We start from the raw sequence: 21,070 nt of genomic DNA, 5'->3' as shown, positions 1-21,070 counted from the left end.
GTCACACAACTCTCGCCAATATTAAATTAATATCAGCTTCAATCACGGGTCTCTCCATGGGTTTCACGGGCTATTTGCTCGCAGAGTCCAGGGACATTTTCCTCATCCATTCCATCAGATCCCCAATTGCTTTCTCTGGCAACACACTCCTAGTATTTGTACGGTAAAGCTGCCTAAAAAAATTAAGTAATTCAAACTACTCTTGACCTTACTTTACACCACCAGGGCAATTAGAGTCACAGTCTGGGTGTGTCTGAGGACAGCAGGCCGCCAAATCCCAGTGATTTAGAGAAAACCGAGCAGAATTTCCCATGCCTCCTGCCTCATTGTCCCCCAGCAGAAGGTTCCGTCACCCCAGGTGCCCTCTAGGGTGGACCACTTCCGAGTTCATCCACTGTCAGGAAAAGGCACATGGCATGCAACCGCAAGACCGATGACTAGATGTCAGAGCTGGCTCCCGGTTGGGATATGAGTGACTTTGTGGAGGATGGCGCCTAAATGAGGCATGCCAATTTCTGCACCAGGGTGACGAACATAAGGGCTCCTTAAAGGCTAGCCCAATGTATCTGTATTTCCTTGGGGATTAAAACCCATGATCTTCAGTTCCTCAGAGAACTGAAAGTTGCAAGGAGAAATCCAGTAATTCCTGTTATCTGCAGGCTTTATAAGTCAGTGGAGCCTGCGGAAGTGGCCAGAATCCAGCACTCCAAGCACTGCTGTCTTCTCACAGAGTCTTGAAGCCAGAGCAGCGCCAGGATGTCACGGGAGCTGGCCCCACTGCTGCTTCTCCTCCTCTCCATCCACAGCGCCCTGGCCATGAGGATCTGCTCCTTCAACGTCAGGTCCTTTGGGGAAAGCAAGCAGGAAGACAAGAATGCCATGGATGTCATTGTGAAGGTGAGCCCCTTTCCTGGGAGGAGGATCCCAGACACCCCTCACACCCTCTCTCCTGTCTGCAGACTTTAAGAGACTCAAGGAACTTAAAGTTGGCCCTTAGGGGGAATGTAGAAGCTGGCTTGGAACAATAACCACTTCAACTCTCTGTACCTCCTGCCGTCATCTTAAAACAGGGGTGATAACAATGGTTCCCTCCAGGGTTGCTGGGGGGACTACAGGAGTTGGCAAATGGAAAGCTCTTAATGTAGTATCTGGCTCATTATACGTTCCAGATAAGGGTTAGCCATTATGATTTTTATTGCTATTTATTGAATGCCTGTATCAGGCACTATAAGCACATGGTTTCACTTCATAATCTTTATGAAGAGGGACTATTACTCCCCATGTAGAGGTGATGAACAAAGAAAGATGAAGTAACCTTATACAGCTACTCCTTTTCACCAGCAAAGCCCAGCTCCTTTCTCTCTCTTTCCTTTTCTTCTTTCTTTCTTTTCTTTCTTTCTCTCTTTCTTTCTTTCTTTTTCTTTCTTCCTTTTTCTTTCTTCCTTTTTCTTTCTTCTTTCTGTCTTTTCTTTCTTCTTCCTTTCTCTTTTTCTTTGTTTCTTTCTTCCTTTCCCTTCCTTACTTTTTTCCTTCCTTCCTTCTCTCTCCCATCCTCATCATCCCTCCCTCTCTTTGTCTTTCTTTCTTCTTCTCCTCCTTCCTTCCTCTCTCCCTCTCCTCTACTTCCCCACTCCTTCCACTTTCGCTTACGCTTTCCTTGGGTGATATACCCAATGTCCGGGGACACTGCTTGCTTTCTCTGGAGTCAATTGACTCCCTTTATCCTACAGGTTAATTAATTTTTGATGCTGGCAACTTAACCCTTTCCCAGGACTCTGGAAAGGTACTTATTACCTTAGGAAACCTGAGACACCATGGTGTGGTAGGGGGGCCAGGAGCCCTGGGTCCAGATTCCACCTACCAGACTTGTGAGCTTGGGAGGCCCTGCCCCTCCCTGAACCACCAGCTCCCCTAGTAAAATGGCGACCACATCCAAATACCACCTGTAGCACTGGCTGGTGAAGAGAACTCAGGGTGCCTGAGGCACCCAGCAGAGCCTGCAGCAAGGTGGGTATTCATGAGCCAGAGCCGCTGCTGTTGCTGTCACTGGGAAGGAGGATTGGAGTGAGGACTGGCAGGCTCTGTTCTTCCTTGGACGAGCCTCTCAGACCCAGGTGGCCCTGCCCTTTGGGAGGTAACCAAGGCCTTCTAGATGGTGTTGTTTAGCCAGGATAGCAATGCCAAGCCTGTGGGAGCCATGACAAGATTGTTCAATGGGAAACCCTGACATGCAAGGCAATGATTTTCCCCACTTCACACATGGCCCGTGGAGCCTGGGTAGCCACTGAGTTCCCATCTCCTTCCTCACTGATGAAACCCGGCTGTCTTTTTGTTCCTTGGTGAGTCCATCATGGGGGCTTGAACTCTGCATCTCCCCTGAGCAGCTGTGTCCTGCAGAGCATGTCCGAAGTCCTTGTCAAGGCTGCCTCACCCTCCCCATCCTACCAAGAGGCCATCCCCAAAACACTGCAAGAGCTACCCTACAGGGCACTCACAGTCACCCGAGAATGCCAGGCATTCAGAATAGGATTATCCCTAGCGCCCATTGACCAAGCACCTCCTATAGGTGCTAATTTTTGTATTTTTAGTAGAGGCGGGTTTCACCATGTTGGCCAGGCTGGTCTCGAACTCCTGACCTCAGGTGATCTGCCCATCTTGGCCTCCCAAAGTGCTGGTATTACAGGCGTAAGCCACCGTGCCCGGCTGGGACTGTATTTTAACAGTTCAACATGGTGGGCTTTGTAGTCACGCAGACCTAAGTTCAAATCCTGACTCTACCACCTATCCTGGCTGTATGACTTTAAGCTAGTCACTCAACCACTCTGAGCTTGGTTTCTGCCTATGTTTAATGGGCTAATAAGCATAGTTACCCCACAGGGTTGTTGTAAGGCTCGGAGTAGGTTTGCAGTAAATGTCAGCTTTTATAATTATTATCATTATAATTATACCTCTTTATTTCTAATCCAGTCTGTTATCTTTGCTTACTAAGGGCTTAATAAATATTTATTATTATTATTGTAATTATTCAAGCAAAGCCAAGAGGCAGGATATTGTGGGGAGGTCATGAGCAAGGGGCTCTGGGCTTGAATTACATAGGTTCAAATTCTGCCTCCGCCATTTTCTAGTAGGGTGATTGGGAGTGTAATTTACTCAACTTTCTCTGAGTCTCACGCTCCTCTTTAAAATGTACATAACAAAAGCACCTACCTACCTCAGGGAGTCCTTCATTTAGTTCAGAGAAGAAATTATTTTAATAAGCACTCAGTGCAATACTTAAAAACAGTAAGTGTCCAATAAAAGGTTTTATTTATCTGTGGTAAATGACCTCAAACCCCTGGGAATTCTCTTTCTTGCAGGTCATCAAACGCTGTGACATCATACTCGTGATGGAAATCAAGGACAGCAACAACAGGATCTGCCCCATACTGATGGAGAAGCTGAACAGGTAACATGGGGAAGGGTGGGCCCTCTAGGGCTCAAGGTCAAGTGCAAGGGCATCTGAAAACCCCTGGGAACTGAAAGTAATGTGAGATCCCGCACTTGACCACCAGTTCACACAGCCAGTGTTGCCCAGGAGTCCAGCTCCCTTAGCCACGGTCCTGAGAACTTTCAACCAGTTGATTTTACTGTGATAAAATAGAATAGGGGAAATAGATGAGGGGTCTGGACACAGAAAGAAATGAAAAAAGCAGATGAGGCTGAGCTAAAAAGTACAGTTATGAAGAAAATGTTGGAGAAAAGAGAAAAGATTAGAAACCAATAGTAGAAGAAAGATAATAAAATTACAACATGCTCACACACAGGAATATTATGCAGCTGTTAAAAGTCATGCTGGTGGCCAGGTGTGGTGGCACGTGCCTATAGTCTCACCTACCTGGGAGGCTGAGGTGGGAGGATCGCTTGAGCCCATGAGGTTTAGGCTATAGTGAGCCATGATCACACCACTGCACTCCAGCCTGGGCCACAGAGCAAGACCCTATCTCTTAAAAAAAAAATCATGCTTGCTACAGAATAAGTTAGAGCTAAATATTCCAGCACGGAATAATGGCCACAATATATTGAAAAAAAGCAAGTTGAGAATTGCAGGTAAAATAGCCCATTTGAGTCATCATGTTACATGAATAAGGGTGTGTTTGTGTTTCCATGTGCATAGAGATGAAAGACTGGAAGGATGCTCTCCAAACTATTAATAGTGGTTACTTCTGGTGGGGGGGGGGGGGGTGTGATCAGAGAGCTGTGGTGAAAGGGGTTAGTGAAGGAGTGAGGGGCACTTGCTTCTTATTTTAGTACTTTTTAAATCTGAGACTCTGTTGCCCAGGCTGGTATGCAGCAGCAAGATCTCGGCTCACTGCAACCTTTGCCTCCTGGGTTCAAGTGATTCTCCTGCCTCAGCCTCCCAAGTAGCTGGGATTACAGTCACACACCCACTATGCCTAGCTAATTTTTGTATTTTTAGTGGAGTCGGGGTTTTGCTATGTTGCCCAGGCTGGCCTTAAATTCCTGACCTCAAGTGATCTGCCCCTCTCAGCCTCCCAAAGTGCTGGGATTACAGGTGTGAGCCGCTGCACCTGGCCATCTCAGCAAGAAACACTTAATAGGGACTTTTGAACAAAAGCCATGTCTGGGTCTTGGGCAGGAGCAAGATGAGATGGTAGATCCTGGTGCCATCATCCCCCAGGCTCTGGGCTTATCCATCATAGGGAAGGCATGTGTAGGACAATTGTAGGGACAGGCAAGAATCCATGTCAGTCTGCCTAAGGGCTTCCCTTATAGTAAGGGAACTGAGTGGGGGACCTGCCTGAGTTACCCAGCCAGGAAGTGGCCAAGCCTACCTTTGAACTTGCGTCACATCTGATCTCATAGCCAGTGCTCTATTCTTTGTCATCTCAGCCTTCCTTGGAGTGTCCCCAGTCAGGTTTATGGGAGACTGAGGGGACAGGTTTGTGGGGGACTGAGGGGACAGGTAGGCTCCAGTCATCTCCTCCACAGTCAGTCTGGGGCGAGTCTTTTCACCACCAGTGGTCTTGGCACACCCCAACCTATCTAGACTGTCGCGGACTCCAAGCAGAGCCAAGCCTGTTTGTCTCTTTATCCCCCACAAGCCAGGATGGGCCTTAGTCACTTTGCAACTGAGTCACCACAAGCAGTTTGCTAACTCAGGACTTGGCAGGCTATGTTCAAAATAGGGCCAGTCTCCCCAAAGTGGAAGCCCGGCAGAACCTACTGTTCACACTCCTGGGGCCCCAGGGGCTAAGTCTGCCTTAGCATACTGCATCTGAAGTCCCAGGAATTTCTGTAAGGTCTAAGTTGGCCCCTAAATACCCCTTCTGCTTTTTTTCCAACTGAATCTGAGAATATGCTGCAGCTTTAGACATGCCCTAGATCTTTTTGTGAGCAGATAGAGTGAAATTATGTTAGGCTCTGCCCAGAGTGGAGTTATCAGCAGGTTTGGTAAACACACAGAAAGAGTCCGCTTTCCCTGGTGCAGGTGAGGGGCAAGGTCAATGGGACTTCATGGCTGTATCCCCAGCACCCAGGATATAAACAACAGTGAATTGAAATCGTGGTCCCAAAGCTTGTAAAAAAATGCCTGATGGCTTTCAGAGGAGAGAATATTCCTGCTTATCATAAATGCTCAGGAGTGGTTCGTGGACACGGACAGGTGGCCTGATGACATTTATTCCACCAGAAAGCATGAGCTGCAGCTGCAGCCATGGGCATGAGCGGGGTCAGGGGCTGATTCTGGCCAAGATTGTCTTCTAGGGTCTCAGTGGCCTCCCACAGGTACAGGCCAAAGCATGCGGGTTTTGGGGTGAGTTGGATCTAGGTTCAAATCCCAGCTTTGGGCTTGCAAACCATAGAAAGGGGGTAATGATAACACTCTCCTCATAAGGCAAGAAATAATGGCTGTAAAGATCGTGGCAGATGCCACATTCCAGCCAATCAATGGTGGCTCCTCTCATTGGACTCAAAGGTTATGATGAACAGTGGCCCTTCCACATGATGCCATTGGGCGTATGGAGGCAGATTGGAAAGAAAGGAACATGTACAGTAGGGGAATGTTTACTCTTCAAGATGCAGTGTTAAATCTTTGTTTTCTAGAAATTCAAGGAGAGGCATAACGTACAACTATGTGATTAGCTCTCGGCTTGGAAGAAACACATATAAAGAACAATATGCCTTTCTCTACAAGTAAGTATCACCTATGCTCCCTGGAACATGGCCACCAATAAATCGTGAATTGAATCAAAATGCATGTCTTTTCTTCAAAACCAAATTTTGATTTCTAACCAATTCTCAGTGTTCATCAAAATAATTGCTGTCAAAACTAGGGGCCTATGCAAAGTATTGACTCTTCAAGCTGAAAACACAAGGGGTCTCCAAACACCTAATTTGTTGGTTGGCTCCATGGTTGGCAGGCCAGGTGTTCTTTACTCCTCATAGTCAAGTCCTGGCCCAGGGCTGGAAAGCTGAGGTTCTCAGCACAGCTGATTCCTGAACTTCGTATTCTTTTCCTCTTCCTGCTAGTAATTTCTTAAGTCTGAACATTAACTTTTGGGTGCCACAGATAACTAGTATGGCTCAGATCTTCAGCTCCCAGATTCGCAACAGCTCCCTGGCTGTTGAGAAGAGTTGACTTAGCCTTGTTCTCAGGAAAACGATCCTGTGCTTGAGCCTGCTCTGGCTTCTGAGAAAGCCATGGGAACCTACATCTCTGCTTCATGAAAGTAGTAAGAAAAGGGCTGACTCAGCTGGGAGGACTTCCTTTTCCTTCTTATAGGGAAAAGCTGGTGTCTGTGAAGAGGAGTTATCACTACCATGACTATCAGGATGGAGACGCAGATGTGTTTTCCAGGGAGCCCTTTGTGGTCTGGTTCCAATCTCCCCACACTGGTAAGACCCACACAGGCCTTTCTGTCTGGGACCTCCCCAACGGCCCATGAATGCGCAGCAGCCTTGAGCATGAGCCCATTAAGGAGGCATTAGGCTGGATGTGACAGTGCATTGCTTCTAATACTTCAATGTAGACGATGCAGTTCAGTGTGATGGCACCAGGCTTGCTTCTCAGAATGCCATGACTCAAGACTTCCCCAGCCCAGAACCCACTTTCTGGAAGCAATGGTAGTCCACTCTCTTTGGAGAGTTTAGGCTCATGGAAATTGTTTTCTGCAATTCCTTGGTACCTGTCAAGTACAACTCTTCCTTCCTTTTTAAAAATCCTGGCTGGGTGCGGTGGCGCATGGCTGTAATCCCAGCACTTTGGGAGGCTGAGGCAGGTGGATCACCTGAGGTCAGGAACTTGAGACCAGACTGGCCAACATGGTGAAACCCCGTCTCTACTAAAAATACAAAAATTAGCTGGGCATGGTGGTGCGCACCTGTAATCCCAGCTACTCGGGAGGCTGAGGTAGGAGAATCACTTGAACCAGGGAGGCAGAGGTTGCAGTGAGCCGAGATCGTACCACTGCACTCCAGCTTGGGCGATAGAGTGAGACTCTTGTCTCAAAAAAAAAAAAAAAATCCTAAGCAATGGCTTAGGTGAACCCCTAGCCTAGAGGCTCACTCTCCCTCCAGTCACTGCATCGCAGACTCCTCCACAGGCCGCAGCGGGTGAGGAAATCCAAATGGATTGCTCCCTGAACTCTAACAACAGTACTTGTACTGGCCCCTGATTAAGTGCCAGCCTCCTGTAATCCTTGCAATGACTACAAGGTAGGGAGTAGGATTATCTCCACTTTACATTTCAGGAAACTGAGGTTTAAAAAGGCATGGAGTCACCCAGCTACTGAAATGGACAGGCCAGGGTTGTAACCCAGGCCACCACCTCAGGAGCTCATGTTCTTTTTTTTTTCTTCTGTTTTTGAGATAGGGCCTTGCTCTGTCATCCAGTCTGGAATGCAGTGGCATGATCTTGGCTCACTGCAACCTCCACCTCCTGGGCTCAAGCAATCTTCGCACCTCAGCCTCGCAAGTAGCTCAGACTATAGGCATGCACCACCACACTCAGCTAATTTTAAAATTTTTAAATAGCGAGATAGGTCTCGCTATGTTGCCTAGGCTGTTCTTGAACCCCTGAGCTCAAGCCATCTGCCTGCCTTGGCTTCCCAAAGTGCTGGGATTACAGGTGTAAGCCACTGTGCCCAGCCAGTGGTTAACATGCAGTGTTATGCAATGCTCGATGGAGTCAAGAATCAAATATTTTTTCAGTACCTACTATGTACCAGGCTCTGTTGAGGGCACTGGACAAGACAGAGGAGGTGACATTGGGCTGTGACCTGAAGAAGTCAGCCATACAGAGGGCTGGAGAAAGGGCATTCCACATGGAGGGCACAGTGAGCACAAAAGCTCAGAAGTGGGAAGGAAGCTGGAATATTTAGGGGGACCAAAAAGAGGATGGAGGAGTGCAGTGGAGGCCTGAGGAGGAGAGCTGGCAATGAGGACACGTGGGGCCCTGGATGCAGCCTGCTGGGCTGAGTTCTGGCTCCTCTCTGTGTGACTTGAGCAGTGACCGCCCCACAGCCCGTGTCTGTTGAGGTAAGAGTGGGAATCCAGGCTGAGAATGAGGGGAAGTCCCAGGAGGAGCTGCTCAGAAGGCGACAGCTGCTGTTAGCAGGTGGGCCAGGAACGGCTTCTGAGGCTCGCGCACATTGCCACACTCAGGCTCTCAGTCCTCCAACGGTGGGGGAAGGTTTTCAGACACTTCACAAAAGTCTTTCGTGAAGACCATGCTAATTTTTAAATAGCTTTTTGGAACTTTTGTTCTTAATTACAAAGGAGTATAAACTGACAAGCCTCATTTTTTTTTTTTTAGACAGAGTTTCACTCTTCTTGCCCAGGCTGGAGTGCAGTGGCGTGATCTAGGCTCACCACAACCTCTGCCTCCCAAGTTCAAACGATTCTCCTGCCTCAGTCTCCCAAGTAGCTGGGATTACAGGCATGCGCCACCACCCCCAGCTAATTTTGTATTTTTAGTAGAGACAGGTTTTCTCCATGATGGTCAGGCTGATCTGGAACTCCCGACCTCAGGTGATCCATCAGCCTCAGCCTCCCAAAGTGGTGGGATTACAGAAGTAAGCCAACACGCCTGGCCAATTTTTTTTTAACTAGAAAATGTGCGACTGGGCTCGGTGGCTCATGCCTGTAATCCCAGCACTTTGGGAGGCTGAGATGGGTCAGTTTATACTCTTTTTGTAACTCCCAGCTGGGTGTGGTGGCTCACACCTGTAATCCCAGCACTTTGGGAGGCTGAGATGGGTGGATCACCTGAGGTTGGGAGTTTGAGAGCAGCCTGACCAACATGGAGAAATCCTGTCTCTACCAAAAAAAAAAAAAAAAAAAAAAAAACAAAGCTAGCCAGGCATGATGGTGCATGCCTGTAATCCCAGTTACTTGGGAGGCTGAGGCAGGAGAATCACTTGAACCTGGGAGGCAGAGGTTGCAGTGAGCCGAAATTGTGCCATTGCACTCCAGCCTGGGCAACAAGAACGAAACTCCGTCTCAAAAAAAAAAAAAGGAAACCTTTAAAAAAAAGAAGAAAATACAACCATAAATATATGCAATTTTTCCTGTCAATTAAAAAAAGAAAGAAGAGGGATAAAATACATCAGAAACAAAAGAAAATACAGATTTGCCACACACACAAAAAGGGGAAAATAAAAGCACTCACAATGCCAGCATGGAACACAGTTGTTATAAGTAAAATGTTTATTTAGAAACAGAATGCTTGTTCCCTGGTACTGCAAGGAAAAATCAACATTCAGATAAAAAGTTTTCTCAGCAAGCCAATTTTACTTTCTGCAGAAAGGGTGCTCCTTGCAGATGGAACAATGGCGAGAGCACACCTGAATAAAGGAGGGAAGCAATTTTTATCCTTTACTCAGCTTGTCCCTGCTACTGTGTCCTGTCTCTCTATTGGCTGGAGCCAGACCACACAATCTAAGCTAACCCGACTGGCTAATAATTTAAACCTTTCTTAAATAGGTAAAGGCAAGGGAGAACAAAGGAAAAGAGGAAGTTGCTTATGCCAAATAGGGAAGGGGCAAAGGCTGTGAGCTGGAATGTGCCTGCGAGCTGGAATGTCCAGCACAAATATCTTGGTTAAGGTACAAGGACATAGAATGTACTATGTGCCTGTGAGCATGTCTAACAGCTACATAGGATAGAGCTTAACAAAGAGTTATTAGCACAAAGCAAGGAGACTTGAAGGAAGTTAGTCTTTAAAGGAAACTATTATTTCTAACACTTATGATTTATTCTTTAATAAGAAGGGAAACTTTGAAGAGGAAACTTTTTTACTTTCTACAACAGTCTACCAGCTTTCTCTTAGCCATGAAGGGCAACTGGGAGAAATGAGTCTTTCGTGTACTAAAAATAGGCAGCCTAATGACCCCAAGATCATTAAAATCTCGGCCACTGGCTGGACCCTCTGGGAACTGGGGACCCAGATAATGCAGCCTGTGCCTTCTGGAGGGGACAGCTGGTTTCCCTCCAGCAGTGTTTATGAGACCTTGACAGGGGAAGTGTGTGACCCCCGCCTCTTTCCTGTTTCTCAGCTGTCAAAGACTTCGTGATTATCCCCCTGCACACCACCCCAGAGACATCCGTTAAGGAGATCGATGAGTTGGTTGAGGTCTACACGGACGTGAAACACCGCTGGAAGGCGGAGGTGAGGACTGCTGTGTCAGACGAATTCCCATCTAGCAGGGGCAGGCTCTGGTCCCTGAGTGGGATGAGTACCTCTCCAGGGAGGGGGAGGAGGAAGGGCATGTGCAGGCTACCACCACTTACAGCATTCTTTAAGGCCTTTCTTCAGCCCTAAGTATCCCTTTTGCTAAATCTGCCTGGGTACCCTGCATGTGGGCCTTGGGAATTGCCACACTTTCCCATTAATAACAGATGCCAACATTTACTGAGTGAATAGCTAGTGCCAGGCACTGTGCTGAGACTTGACATGGACAAGTTTATTTAATCCTCCCAATAATCCCTTGAGGTAGCTACAGTACCTTTCTCATTCCCACTTTGCAATTGAGAAGTGTAAGGCATAGAGCAGTCAGGATTGTTTCAGTTGCAAGGGACAGAATCTTAACATGGCTCATGAAAAAAAGGAGCAATTGATTGGTTTGTGTAACTGAAATGTCCAGGAGTACTTCAGGCATAGCTGGATCCAGGGCTCAGACAAGGTAATCAGAGCTTGATTTGTCTCTTCCTTTCTATCTCCTGGTTGCCCTTTCCTCTGTGTGGCTCCATTCTCAGGTTGGTTCCATCCCTGGGATGGCAGGACAGCCACCAGCAGCCTCCAGACCAAAATAAATTTTCTTTCCCACAAGGCAACAAATAGTGTGGGACTGAGTCTCATTGGCTCTGACTGGGTCAGGTGTCCATCCCTGAACCAATCATTGTGATCAGGGTGTTGAGCTACTCTGATTGACTAAATCTGTGTCCACCCCAGCTCCACCCCAAACTCAGTTTGAGGTGGAGGAGGGATGGGTGGTCTCCCAAAGGAACTTGGGGTGCTGTTTTCACAGAAGGGGGCACATATTTGCCATCCCTATAGGCTCAGTTCTTTCCACTTTTGGAAGAGACCACTTGTGGCTGTGAGGGGCTGTGAAAGCTCTTGGTAAATATGGAAGTGCACCCAAGGGTTCTTCTTCTGTATTTCTCTTTTCTCGTTTCGGAATGTGACTCCTGTGATCCCCCTTCCTCCTCTTGAGTTCTGCTGCTCAAATGCAAAATGAATCAAATAAAGTGTGAACATAGTCCATCAGAGCTGGGGCATGGAAAAGACCAGGGGTGTATTTCATTGCTTATTAATAAATAGGTCAAAAGAAAGATTCATTCTTTCCAAAAATTATGAAATCATTCACTTATTAAACAAGAATGTATTGAGCATCTATTGAGTGTTGGGCTGTGGGGAGGCATCAGTGGCCTAAAAGTGAACAAGAGGGGAAACTGCTTCAGTGAAGCAGACTGGGATGTGATTCTTTTTTTTTTTTTTTCTTGAGATGAAATCTCGCTCTTGTCCCCAGGCTGGAGTGCAATGGTGCAATCTCGGCTCACTGCAACCTCCACCTCCCGGGTTCAAGTGATTCTCCTGCCTCCCGAGTAGCTGGGATTACAGGCATGTGCCACCACGCCTGGCTAATTTTTATATTTTTAATAGAAATGGGGTTTCACCATGTTGGCCAGGCTGGTCTTGAATGCCTGACCTCAGGTGATCCACCCGCCTCGGCTTCCCAAAGTGCTGGGATTACAGGCGTGAGCCACGGCGCCTGGCTGGGATGTGATTCTTGACTTCACCATTTGAACCTCCCAGTCCTGTGGCCTAGAGCAGGTCACTTAATCTCTCAATCCTGTTTCTATAGAAGTTAGTGGGCTCTTGTACCTCCTATTGTTTATTGCTGCCAGGTGTAAATTTAAAAACACCTAGTGCTAGGCCTGGCACATAGTGAATGTTCAGCAAATCATGTCTATATTAGCAGAAGCTGGTGATCACTGAGGTTAAGGATGACACTCTGTCCTCAACTGAACCCATCAATCATGGGGAAAATTGTGATCACCAAGGTCAAAATAAAATGTTCTTGAAGAAAACTCTGAAGTCAGCAATGCCCCACCAAACAATAGCACAAACAAGGAAATCTGGCACTTCCTCTGGATTGTGGAATGTTGAAAATTCTGTTCCAAGAGCCTTGCAGGGAAAAATATTTCCAAGATAGGAAGTTTCTCTTGGTGGCCTTGGGTGGGGGTGGACAGCTCACTCAATGGTCCCCTCCCCTGAAGATGCCTCCCACCTCCTCAAGGGACTGAATTTTCACAGAAATAAGTTTCCAACTTCAAAACAATAGGAGAGAAAGAGTGATGCCAGGGTTGTCAATACACCACCCAAATTCACTTTTCCTGCTTGAAAGCAAAAGGCGTTGATTCATTCGTATATTTACACCCTACAGTAGTTTGAGCCAGGGACAAAAGATGTGAGGGAATAGATTCACTGAAATTTTTTTTATCCACACCTGACTCTGCATGCTGAATTATGGAAATGTGGCGACTAAGAACAGCAAACATTCTCCTTCCTGTTAAGAACATCCTCCCTGGTACGCACTCGCCTGTCATCGACTCATCAAAACTGTGACTCAATTTTAAACAACAAAAAGAAATTTTTAAAGACCTTATATTCATTTGCTAGAGCTGCCATAACAAAGTACCATACTGAAGACTGGGAAGTTTAAACAATAGAAAGTGAGTTCGTCACCGTTCTGGAGGCTGGAGTCCCAGAACAAGGTGTGCCAGCAGGGCTGGTGTCTTTTGGGGGCCTCTCTCCTTGGTTTGTAGACGGCCATCTTCTTCCAGTGTCTTTACATGGTCTTTGCTCCACTTTTCTGTGTCCTAATTTCCCCTTTTTACAAGAACGCCAGTCATATTGGATTAGAGCCCATCCATATGACCTCATTTTACCTTAATTCCCTCTTGAAAGGTTCTATCTCCAAATACAGTCGCATTCTAAGGTGCTGGGGGTTAGAACTTCAACATAGGAATTTGGCCGGGGCGGGAGCAGGGGGTAGACAAGATTCAGCCCATAACAGACCCTGTTGTTTACTGGGCCTGGGACGCAGAGTCTTTGCTAGAGTCCAGTGTGAAAGCATTCTGCAGCAGCACCCACCAGGTGACAGTTCCAAATCTTGTCTTTTAGAATTTCATTTTCATGGGTGACTTCAATGCCGGCTGCAGCTACGTCCCCAAGAAGGCCTGGAAGAACATCCGCTTGAGGACTGACCCCAGGTTTGTTTGGCTGATCGGGGACCAAGAGGACACCACGGTGAAGAAGAGCACCAACTGTGCATATGACAGGTAGGAGGCCCTGCAGGGTGCTGCTGGCTCACCACAGTGCTTGGTGTGCACTAGGAAAGACGCAAGGTGGCTGGGCACTGTGGCTCACGCCAGTAGTCCTAGCACTTTGGGAGGCCTCGATGGATGGATCGCTTGAGTACAGGAGTTTGAGACCAGCCTGGGCAACATGATGAAACCCCGTCTCTACAAAAAATACAAAAATTAGCCAGGCATGGTGGCACACACCTATACTCCCAGCTACTCAGGAGGCTGAGGTGGGAGGATCGCTTGAGCCCAGAAGGTGGAGGCTGCAGTGAGCCAGGATCGCACCACTGCACTCCAGCCTGGGTAACAGAGTGAGACTTTGTCTCAAAAATAAAAAATAAAAATAAAAATAAGAAAAGCACACTGCTTGCAGAGCTGAGTCAATTAAATGTCAGGCCCCTCTACTGGGTACCACATGTAGCGTATGAACCACAGGACCCTATGCGGTGGCCCTGGGCACTGTAGCTTAGCAGAGGTAAGCACTGGCTTCGCTATCAGATAGGCCTGGATTTAAATCCTGACATTATCACTTCATATGTCTGTGACCAAGAGACAAGCTCTCTGTGTCTTTCATTTCCTCCCCTGTAAAATGGAAGTTATCCTAGTGCCTCACTCATGAAGATCCGATGTGGAGTAAATGAAATAACATGTCAGGCTGCTAGCACAATGCCTGGCATACGGCAAGTGCTCATTACATTCATGGGCTGATCATTGTTCCATCACAAAGACTTACCGCAATTGATGCGCCCAATCCCCATCATTAGGCATTGGGTTATTACCAAGGGTTTGCTGTTATAAATACTGCTAAAATCAATATCCTCTGTGCATTTTGTGCAAGTATTTATGATTTCCTCAGGAAGCAACCCTAAAAATGAGACCAATTAGTGCAACGGTATTTATATTTTTAAAGCTTTAGCTACATATTCCTAAATGCAATGCATACATTTAAGTCCTAGCATTCCCTCGTGCTTTTTAAAGTCCCTTCAGGGATTTTCAAACAGCTTTCATCTTTGCTCCTTCAATGGGGACAGAGGGGGGAGTGCCTGAGGCGTGTGAATGTTAGTGATCTTCCATCACAGAGACCACAGGTGGGGAAACCCCTAGGAGCCTGGTCCCAGGTGGTGGCCACAGTTCCCAGAGCTCAGCCTGCCACGAGGAAGTGTGAGATGGCCATCTGCATGAGAGCCACCAGGCCACTCGTTTTCACTTCCTCTCGGAGTTTTTTTTTTTTTTTTTTTTTTTTTTAGACAGAGTCTCGCTCTGTTGCCCAGGCTGGAGTGCAGTGGTGCGATCTCGGCTCACTGCAAGCTCCGCCTCCCGGGTTCACGCCATTCTCCTGCCTCAGCCTCCCGAGTAGCTGGGACTACAGGCGCCCGCCACCACGCCTGGCTAATTTTTTTTTTTTTTTGTATTTTTAGTAGAGACAGGGTTTCACCATGTTACCCAGGATGGTCTTGATTTCTTGACCTCGTGATCCGCCCGCCTCGGCCTCCCAAAGTGCTGGGATTACAGGCGTGAGCCACCATGCCCGGCCTGTTCCTCTTGGAGCTTTTGAGGCTGGTGTTTCCTTTGCAGAAGTTATCACTCTGCAAAGTGGGAACCCAAGGCGGGGAGTTACAGGGGTCTAAGTGCCCAGACCCCCTATTTTGAAGGACTTCCAGCAAAGCCTGGACGATGGCCACTCACTCAGTTACACATGGCAGTTGTGTGCCCGTGGGTAGGTCAAGTCCCTTCTCCAGCGCCATTCTTCTCCCCTGGCAAATGAGTGGGAAGTGATTGAAAATGATACAGAAGAATCAGAAGGCAACATGGCCACAGTAGATCAGGTCAGGGGTAGAACAGGTTAGAAAAAGATGTTTACTAAAAGGATCCTGATTTTATACACATGTATCCCAAAGGATGGTGGGATTACATGTGACATTTTAAAGATTCATTTCTTATTTTGATGCTCTGAATTTTGTTTCTCATAACAACATGTATAACTCTTGTGCCTCTTTTTTTTCTTTTTTTTGAGACAGAGTCCTGCTCTGTCGCCCAGGCTGGAGTGCAGTGGCAGGATCTTGGCTCACTGCAACCTCCGCCTCCCGGGTTCAAGCGATTTTCCTGCCTCAGCCTCCCAAGTAGCTGGGATTACAGGCATACACAAACATGCCCCGCTTTTTTTTTTTTTTTTTTTTTTTTTTGTAATTTTAGTAGAGATGGGGTTTCGCCATGTTGGCCAGGCTGGTCTTGAACTCGTGACCTCAGGTGATCCGCCTGCTTTGGCCTCCCAAAGTGCTTGGATTACAGGTGTGAGCCACCATGCCCGGCCTCTTGTGGCTTTTAAAAAGTCATAGGCCAGTTGTGGTGGCATATGCTGTAATCCCAGCTACTTGGGAGGCTGAGGCAGGAGGATCACTTGAGCCCAGGAGTTCAAGGCTTTAGAGCAACATGATCACATGCCTGTGAATAGCCACGGCACTCCAGCCTGGACAACATAGTGAGACCTGTCTCAATACAATAAAATAAAAAGTAAAATTAAATAAAATAAACGGAGAAAATGAAAAGCCATAAAAATGATGTTTTAAAAATGTAATTAGACAAGATGGTCTCAGTTCCAGTCTTTGTTCCATGTTCACATATTTATCAAACACCTCTCATGTGCTGAGTGCTGGGGGAACATGCAAAGATGCCCAGGATCTGGCTGGTGCCCTGGACTGAAAACGTCACATGAACACTGGCCTGGTCCTGCACATCCCTAGAAGAAGTCAGAAATGGAAGAGCCTTTAACATGTCATTCTTTGCTTTCTGAGTCTTAAAGAAAGCTTTCACAAATGTCTAACTTGATGCGAAGAATTTACATTTGGGTTGAATTAAAAGCCGTAGCCCGGGCCGGGCGTGGTGGCTCACACCTGTAATCCCAGCACTTTGGGAGGCTGCGGCCGGTGGATCACGAGGTCAGGAGATCGAGACCATCCTGGCTAACACAGTGAAACCCCGTCTCTACTAAAAAATACAAAAAAAATTAGCCAGGCGTGGTGCCGGGCACCTGTAGTCCCAGCTACTCGGGAGGCTGAGGCAGGAGAATGGCATGAACCCAGGAGGCAGAGCTTGCAGTGAGCCGAGATTGCGCCACTGCACTCTAGCCTGGGTGACACAGAGAGACTCCGTCTCAAAAAAAGAAAAAAAAAAGCCGTAGCCCTGGAGCGGTGGCTTACACCGGTAATCCCAGCACTTTGGGAGGTTGAGGTGGGCGGATCACCTAAGGTCACGAGTTCAAGACCAGCCTGGCCAACAGGGATAAACCCCGTCTCTACTAAAAATACAAAAATTAGCCAGGCGTGGTGGCACACACCTATAATTCCAGCTACTTGGGAGGCTGAGGCAGGAGAATCGCTTCAACCCGGAAGGTGGAGGTTGCAGTGAGCTGAGATGGCGCACTGCACTCCAACCTGGGTGACAGAGCATGACTGTGTCTCAAAAAAAAAAAAAAAAAAAAAAAAGTTAGTTGTGCTGGTGATGTTAGCAAATGCAGATACCAAAACTGTTGATTAGAATGGGGAAGGCCCACTGGTCACTCATGAAATGGCAGTTTGACTCACCTTGCCATTCCTCGGGAAGTCACTCAGGACCACGTAGACCACAACTGCATCACCCAACTTGGGATATGTTAGTTTGTTTCCAAAACTCATTTGACTACCTCATTCTTACTTTTTGTCATTATTGCAAAGCACATATGCTGTGATTTTTCTCGATATTTTCCATTAAATCGCTTAATTTCTTGCTGAAATAAATTTTTAAAAGAAATTTCATGATACTAGCATGAGTAAGAAAGCAGCAGCATTTGCCATAAATTGAAGGTAACGTAAAAATTAAGTCCAGTGAAAATCACGCCTTGTTAAATTCTGCCTTAATTCTCTTGCCTGCAGAATGCTCGGAGATGGCAGCCTACTCTCTGTCAACACGGGACTGAGGGAGGTATTAAAGACAAACCAGCACCTCCCTGAGAATTTCTCCATAATCAAATCAGGGAAAGTGAAAAATAATTGAAAAAGGAACAGCGTTCTCAGTACGCAAGTCATTGTTGTGTGGGATAGTGTGCGTGTGTCATATAAAATCTTCTCCTACTCCACCAGAACATTGCCCACACTGGGAGACAGTGTCCTGGTGTCCACAGAACCATGGCAGGGACTGATCCTATTTCACAGTTGTAGGCACTGTCCTTTGGGGTCACAGGCTAAAACCAGCTCTGGACTTTGAGCGCCACATGAAAGGGCCAGACTGCTCGGTTAATTCCAGACAGCAAACACAGACCTTGGTTTGATCTCAGCAATCACAGGTTGGATTAACACAACTGTTTTCCCTCCCCTTGTTCCAGGATTGTGCTTAGAGGACAAGAAATCGTCAGTTCTGTTGTTCCCAAGTCAAACAGTGTTTTTGACTTCCAGAAAGCTTACAAGCTGACTGAAGAGGAGGTAAGGTTGCCATCTTGTCTTTCTATGCCATTGTCCTGGAAAGATGAGTTAGCTTGGGCAACATGATGAGACTCCATCTCTATGAAAAATTCAAAAAAATTAGCTGGGCATGGTGATGCATGCCTATGGTCCCAGCTACTTGGGAGGCTGAGGTGGGAGGATCACTTGAGTCCAGGAAGCGGAGGTTGCAGTGAGCCAAGATCGCACCACTGCACTCCAGGCTGGGCAACAGAGTGAGATCCTGTCTCAAAAAAAAAAAAAAAAAAAGATGGGTTGATGCCACCCTTTGAGGTCACCACTGAAGACACAACATTGGGCACTAGACCTTGACCCTCAATGCCTATGATTCTGTGATTTGAGGCCCCTCCAAAATTTCTGATCGAGCTGGTCTTGGAATGACGCTTACCAGTAAGTGTTCTGTGGGGTGACTTCGGGCATTTCCTCTCCCCTCCCTGGTCCTAAATTTGCTCATCGCTAAAATGAAAGCATCTCCCAGGCATCTCCTAATTTCCATGTCTACCTCCCCTTTCTCCTTATAGGCCCTGGATGTCAGCGACCACTTTCCAGTTGAATTTAAACTACAGTCTTCAAGGGCCTTCACCAACAGCAAAAAATCTGTCACTCTAAGGAAGAAAACAAAGAGCAAACGCTCCTAGACCCAAGGGTCTCATCTTATTAACCATTTCTTGCCTCTAAATAAAATGTCTCTAACAGATATGAACTGCTCCCTGTACTTAGGAAACAAGAGTGATCCAACTGCTTTCATTTTTTGACCTGAATTTATTCTGACTTGAGCCAAATTGGAAGGAGAATCTTTTGTATCTCTCTTGGTCTCATACCTCCCCTGAATTGTCTAAAAGGGAACCAGGGGCATTTGTAGACCAAAATGATGATCTTCATGCCCTGAGCCAGAGCCCCATCCACTGTCACTGGCCCTGCTCAACCCTGTCATGCGAGAGGCTGCAGGGGGAGGAAGAGCGTCAGCTTTCAGTCCTCATGAGGGGTCCTGTTCCACACGCAATGACCAGAAACACCAAGGCCCCAGCTGCCCCTGTGATTTGGGCAATTAACTGTTTTAAGAGTCTGCCCCCTCCTCTCTGAGGTCAGGCCACCATCACGTCTCACAGTGTTGAGGGATAAAGGCCACTCCCACCTGGTTTCTCTGCCTTCGAATTGTCCTCCAACTCAGCCAGCCCAGGAAGCATCAGTGTCATCCTCTGAAATACTAATCTGACCACAGCCCACCCTCAGTCCCACCCTCAGTCCCACCCTCTGCCCATAAATCCTTCAGCGGCTCCCATCACCATGGGAGAGAGCTCAGTCTTGGCCACCATGAAGGTCTCTGCTATCTGGCTTATTGCGCCAGCCCCACCTTCTGCCAGGGTCCCACCCTGAACCCCTGCTCCAGGAGGATGTCCTCCGCCCTGCATACCCCATGCTCTCCCTCCCTGGGGGCCTTGGCTCTGCCCCCCCCATGCCCTGCCCTATTCCAGAGCCCGGGCCAAGTGCCCCCAGCCCTCATGTGCGCCCTACCTCTATTGCAACATCCACCACATTATATTTGTCACCAAGGTCAGTGTTGGAGGTCTTTGGGGCCCCAGTGTGACAAACACCTAGTGGGCTGGCTGGGACTCGAGGATTTTGTTATCTTTCTGCAATCAAGGAGGCTCATTGGAGTCCAACAACACAGCACCATTTAGCCTGTATCCAAGGTGCCCATTTTTGTTTGTTTTGCTTTGTTTTCCCTGATGTTTCTTTGTTCAAGTCATACACGAACATGGCTAAATGTGTGAACAGTACCGAAGAATAAGCAGGGAAAAGGAATGCCGTGCCCTGACCCCATCCCCGAGTTTCCTGTCTCAGAAACAGCCCCTCTTCCCAGCTCATGTGTTTTTCCAGAGAGTCTGCACAGAAATGAGCACTATATGTAACCTTAAAAATACAAAATATAGCACACCATATGCATGGTTCCACTCTTCGCTTTTTTCCTTTAATATATTGGGGATGATGTGACTTTTGATGTAGGAGAAAAAGACCTTAAGTCTGACACTTGAAATTATGTAACATCTGACTGGGGGAATAAAATCAAAAGGGCCCTGGTTAAGCACGGGAAGCCATCTTCCTCAAATGTCCAATTAACCTCATTGGACAAAGGTCTCACTGGAATTGGTGAGGGGTGAGTGATGGCAAGGCTGCTAACACATCTGTCACCCTTCTCCTAAGCCAGAGCTCATAGTCCCAGGAAACTTACCAGTTTCCAAGGTCCAAAATGGTCAAACAAGGTCAGGCGAGGTGGCTCATGCCTGTAATCCTAGCACTTTGGGAGGCCAGCCTGGGCAACATGGCGAAACCCTGTCTCTACTAAAAATACAAAACATTAGCCAGGCATGCTGGTACACTCCTGTAGTCCCAGCTACTGGGAGGCTGAGGCACAACAATTGCTTGAACCCGGGAGGTGGAGGTTGCAGTGAGCTGAGATCGTGCCACTGTACTCCAGCCTGGGCGACAGAGTGAGACTCTGTCAAAAAAAAAAAAAAAAGTCAAGCAAGTCATAAATGGGCTTATTCCGGAGAGAGAGGCTCATCCTTCTGTCCCAAAGTACTGCAAGCTCCGAAAGCCCACATGGCTGGGATAAGAACCCTGGCTGCTGGGGCTTGAGACTCCATGCTGGGTGGGGGAGGAATGGGAAGGAGGACCAGACACTAAATGAGTCAGTCCATGGCTCTGACTTGGTCCTGACACCCTGCAGC

The 21,070-nt window shown here is 47.4% G+C and overlaps 1 protein-coding gene across 2 annotated transcripts, besides 2 other annotated features; it reads left to right on the top strand.

Annotated features, from left to right (window-relative positions):
* DNASE1L3 (deoxyribonuclease 1L3) lies at nt 691-19,406 on the top strand. Of its 2 annotated transcripts, NM_004944.4 has the most exons (8): nt 691-897; nt 3,357-3,445; nt 6,103-6,192; nt 6,782-6,894; nt 10,554-10,666; nt 13,685-13,842; nt 18,224-18,320; nt 18,860-19,406. In NM_004944.4, the coding sequence occupies exons 1-8, from the start codon at nt 757-759 to the stop codon at nt 18,974-18,976; spliced, it is 918 nt and encodes a 305-aa protein (NP_004935.1). In that variant the 5' UTR covers nt 691-756; the 3' UTR covers nt 18,977-19,406. The 2 variants fall into 2 exon arrangements, with proteins under 2 accessions (NP_004935.1, NP_001243489.1); NM_001256560.2 differs by lacking the exon at nt 6,103-6,192.
* Nucleotides 4,672-4,751: an enhancer, noted in NCBI's record as "active region_20002". NCBI's record gives its function as "activates an Ori minimal core promoter by ATAC-STARR-seq in GM12878 lymphoblastoid cells {active_cell/tissue: GM12878}" and the evidence as "EXISTENCE:reporter gene assay evidence [ECO:0000049][PMID:35858748]".
* Nucleotides 14,914-15,093: an enhancer, noted in NCBI's record as "active region_20001". NCBI's record gives its function as "activates an Ori minimal core promoter by ATAC-STARR-seq in GM12878 lymphoblastoid cells {active_cell/tissue: GM12878}" and the evidence as "EXISTENCE:reporter gene assay evidence [ECO:0000049][PMID:35858748]".

Source organism: Homo sapiens, chromosome 3 (assembly GCF_000001405.40).
Source record: "Homo sapiens chromosome 3, GRCh38.p14 Primary Assembly".
Lineage (NCBI taxonomy): Eukaryota > Metazoa > Chordata > Mammalia > Primates > Hominidae > Homo > Homo sapiens.
Note: the sequence above shows the minus strand (reverse complement) of the source record. Positions and strands in the feature narration are given on the sequence as shown.

Excerpts from the sequence above, each read along its gene's own strand:
- DNASE1L3 (NM_004944.4), top strand. The coding sequence starts at position 757 with ATGTCACGGGAGCTGGCCCCACTGCTGCTTCTCCTCCTCTCCATCCAC. Across the intron at positions 6,895-10,553 it reads GTTCCAATCTCCCCACACTG|CTGTCAAAGACTTCGTGATT; the intron begins GTAAGACCCACA and ends CCTGTTTCTCAG. Across the intron at positions 10,667-13,684 it reads AACACCGCTGGAAGGCGGAG|AATTTCATTTTCATGGGTGA; the intron begins GTGAGGACTGCT and ends CTTGTCTTTTAG.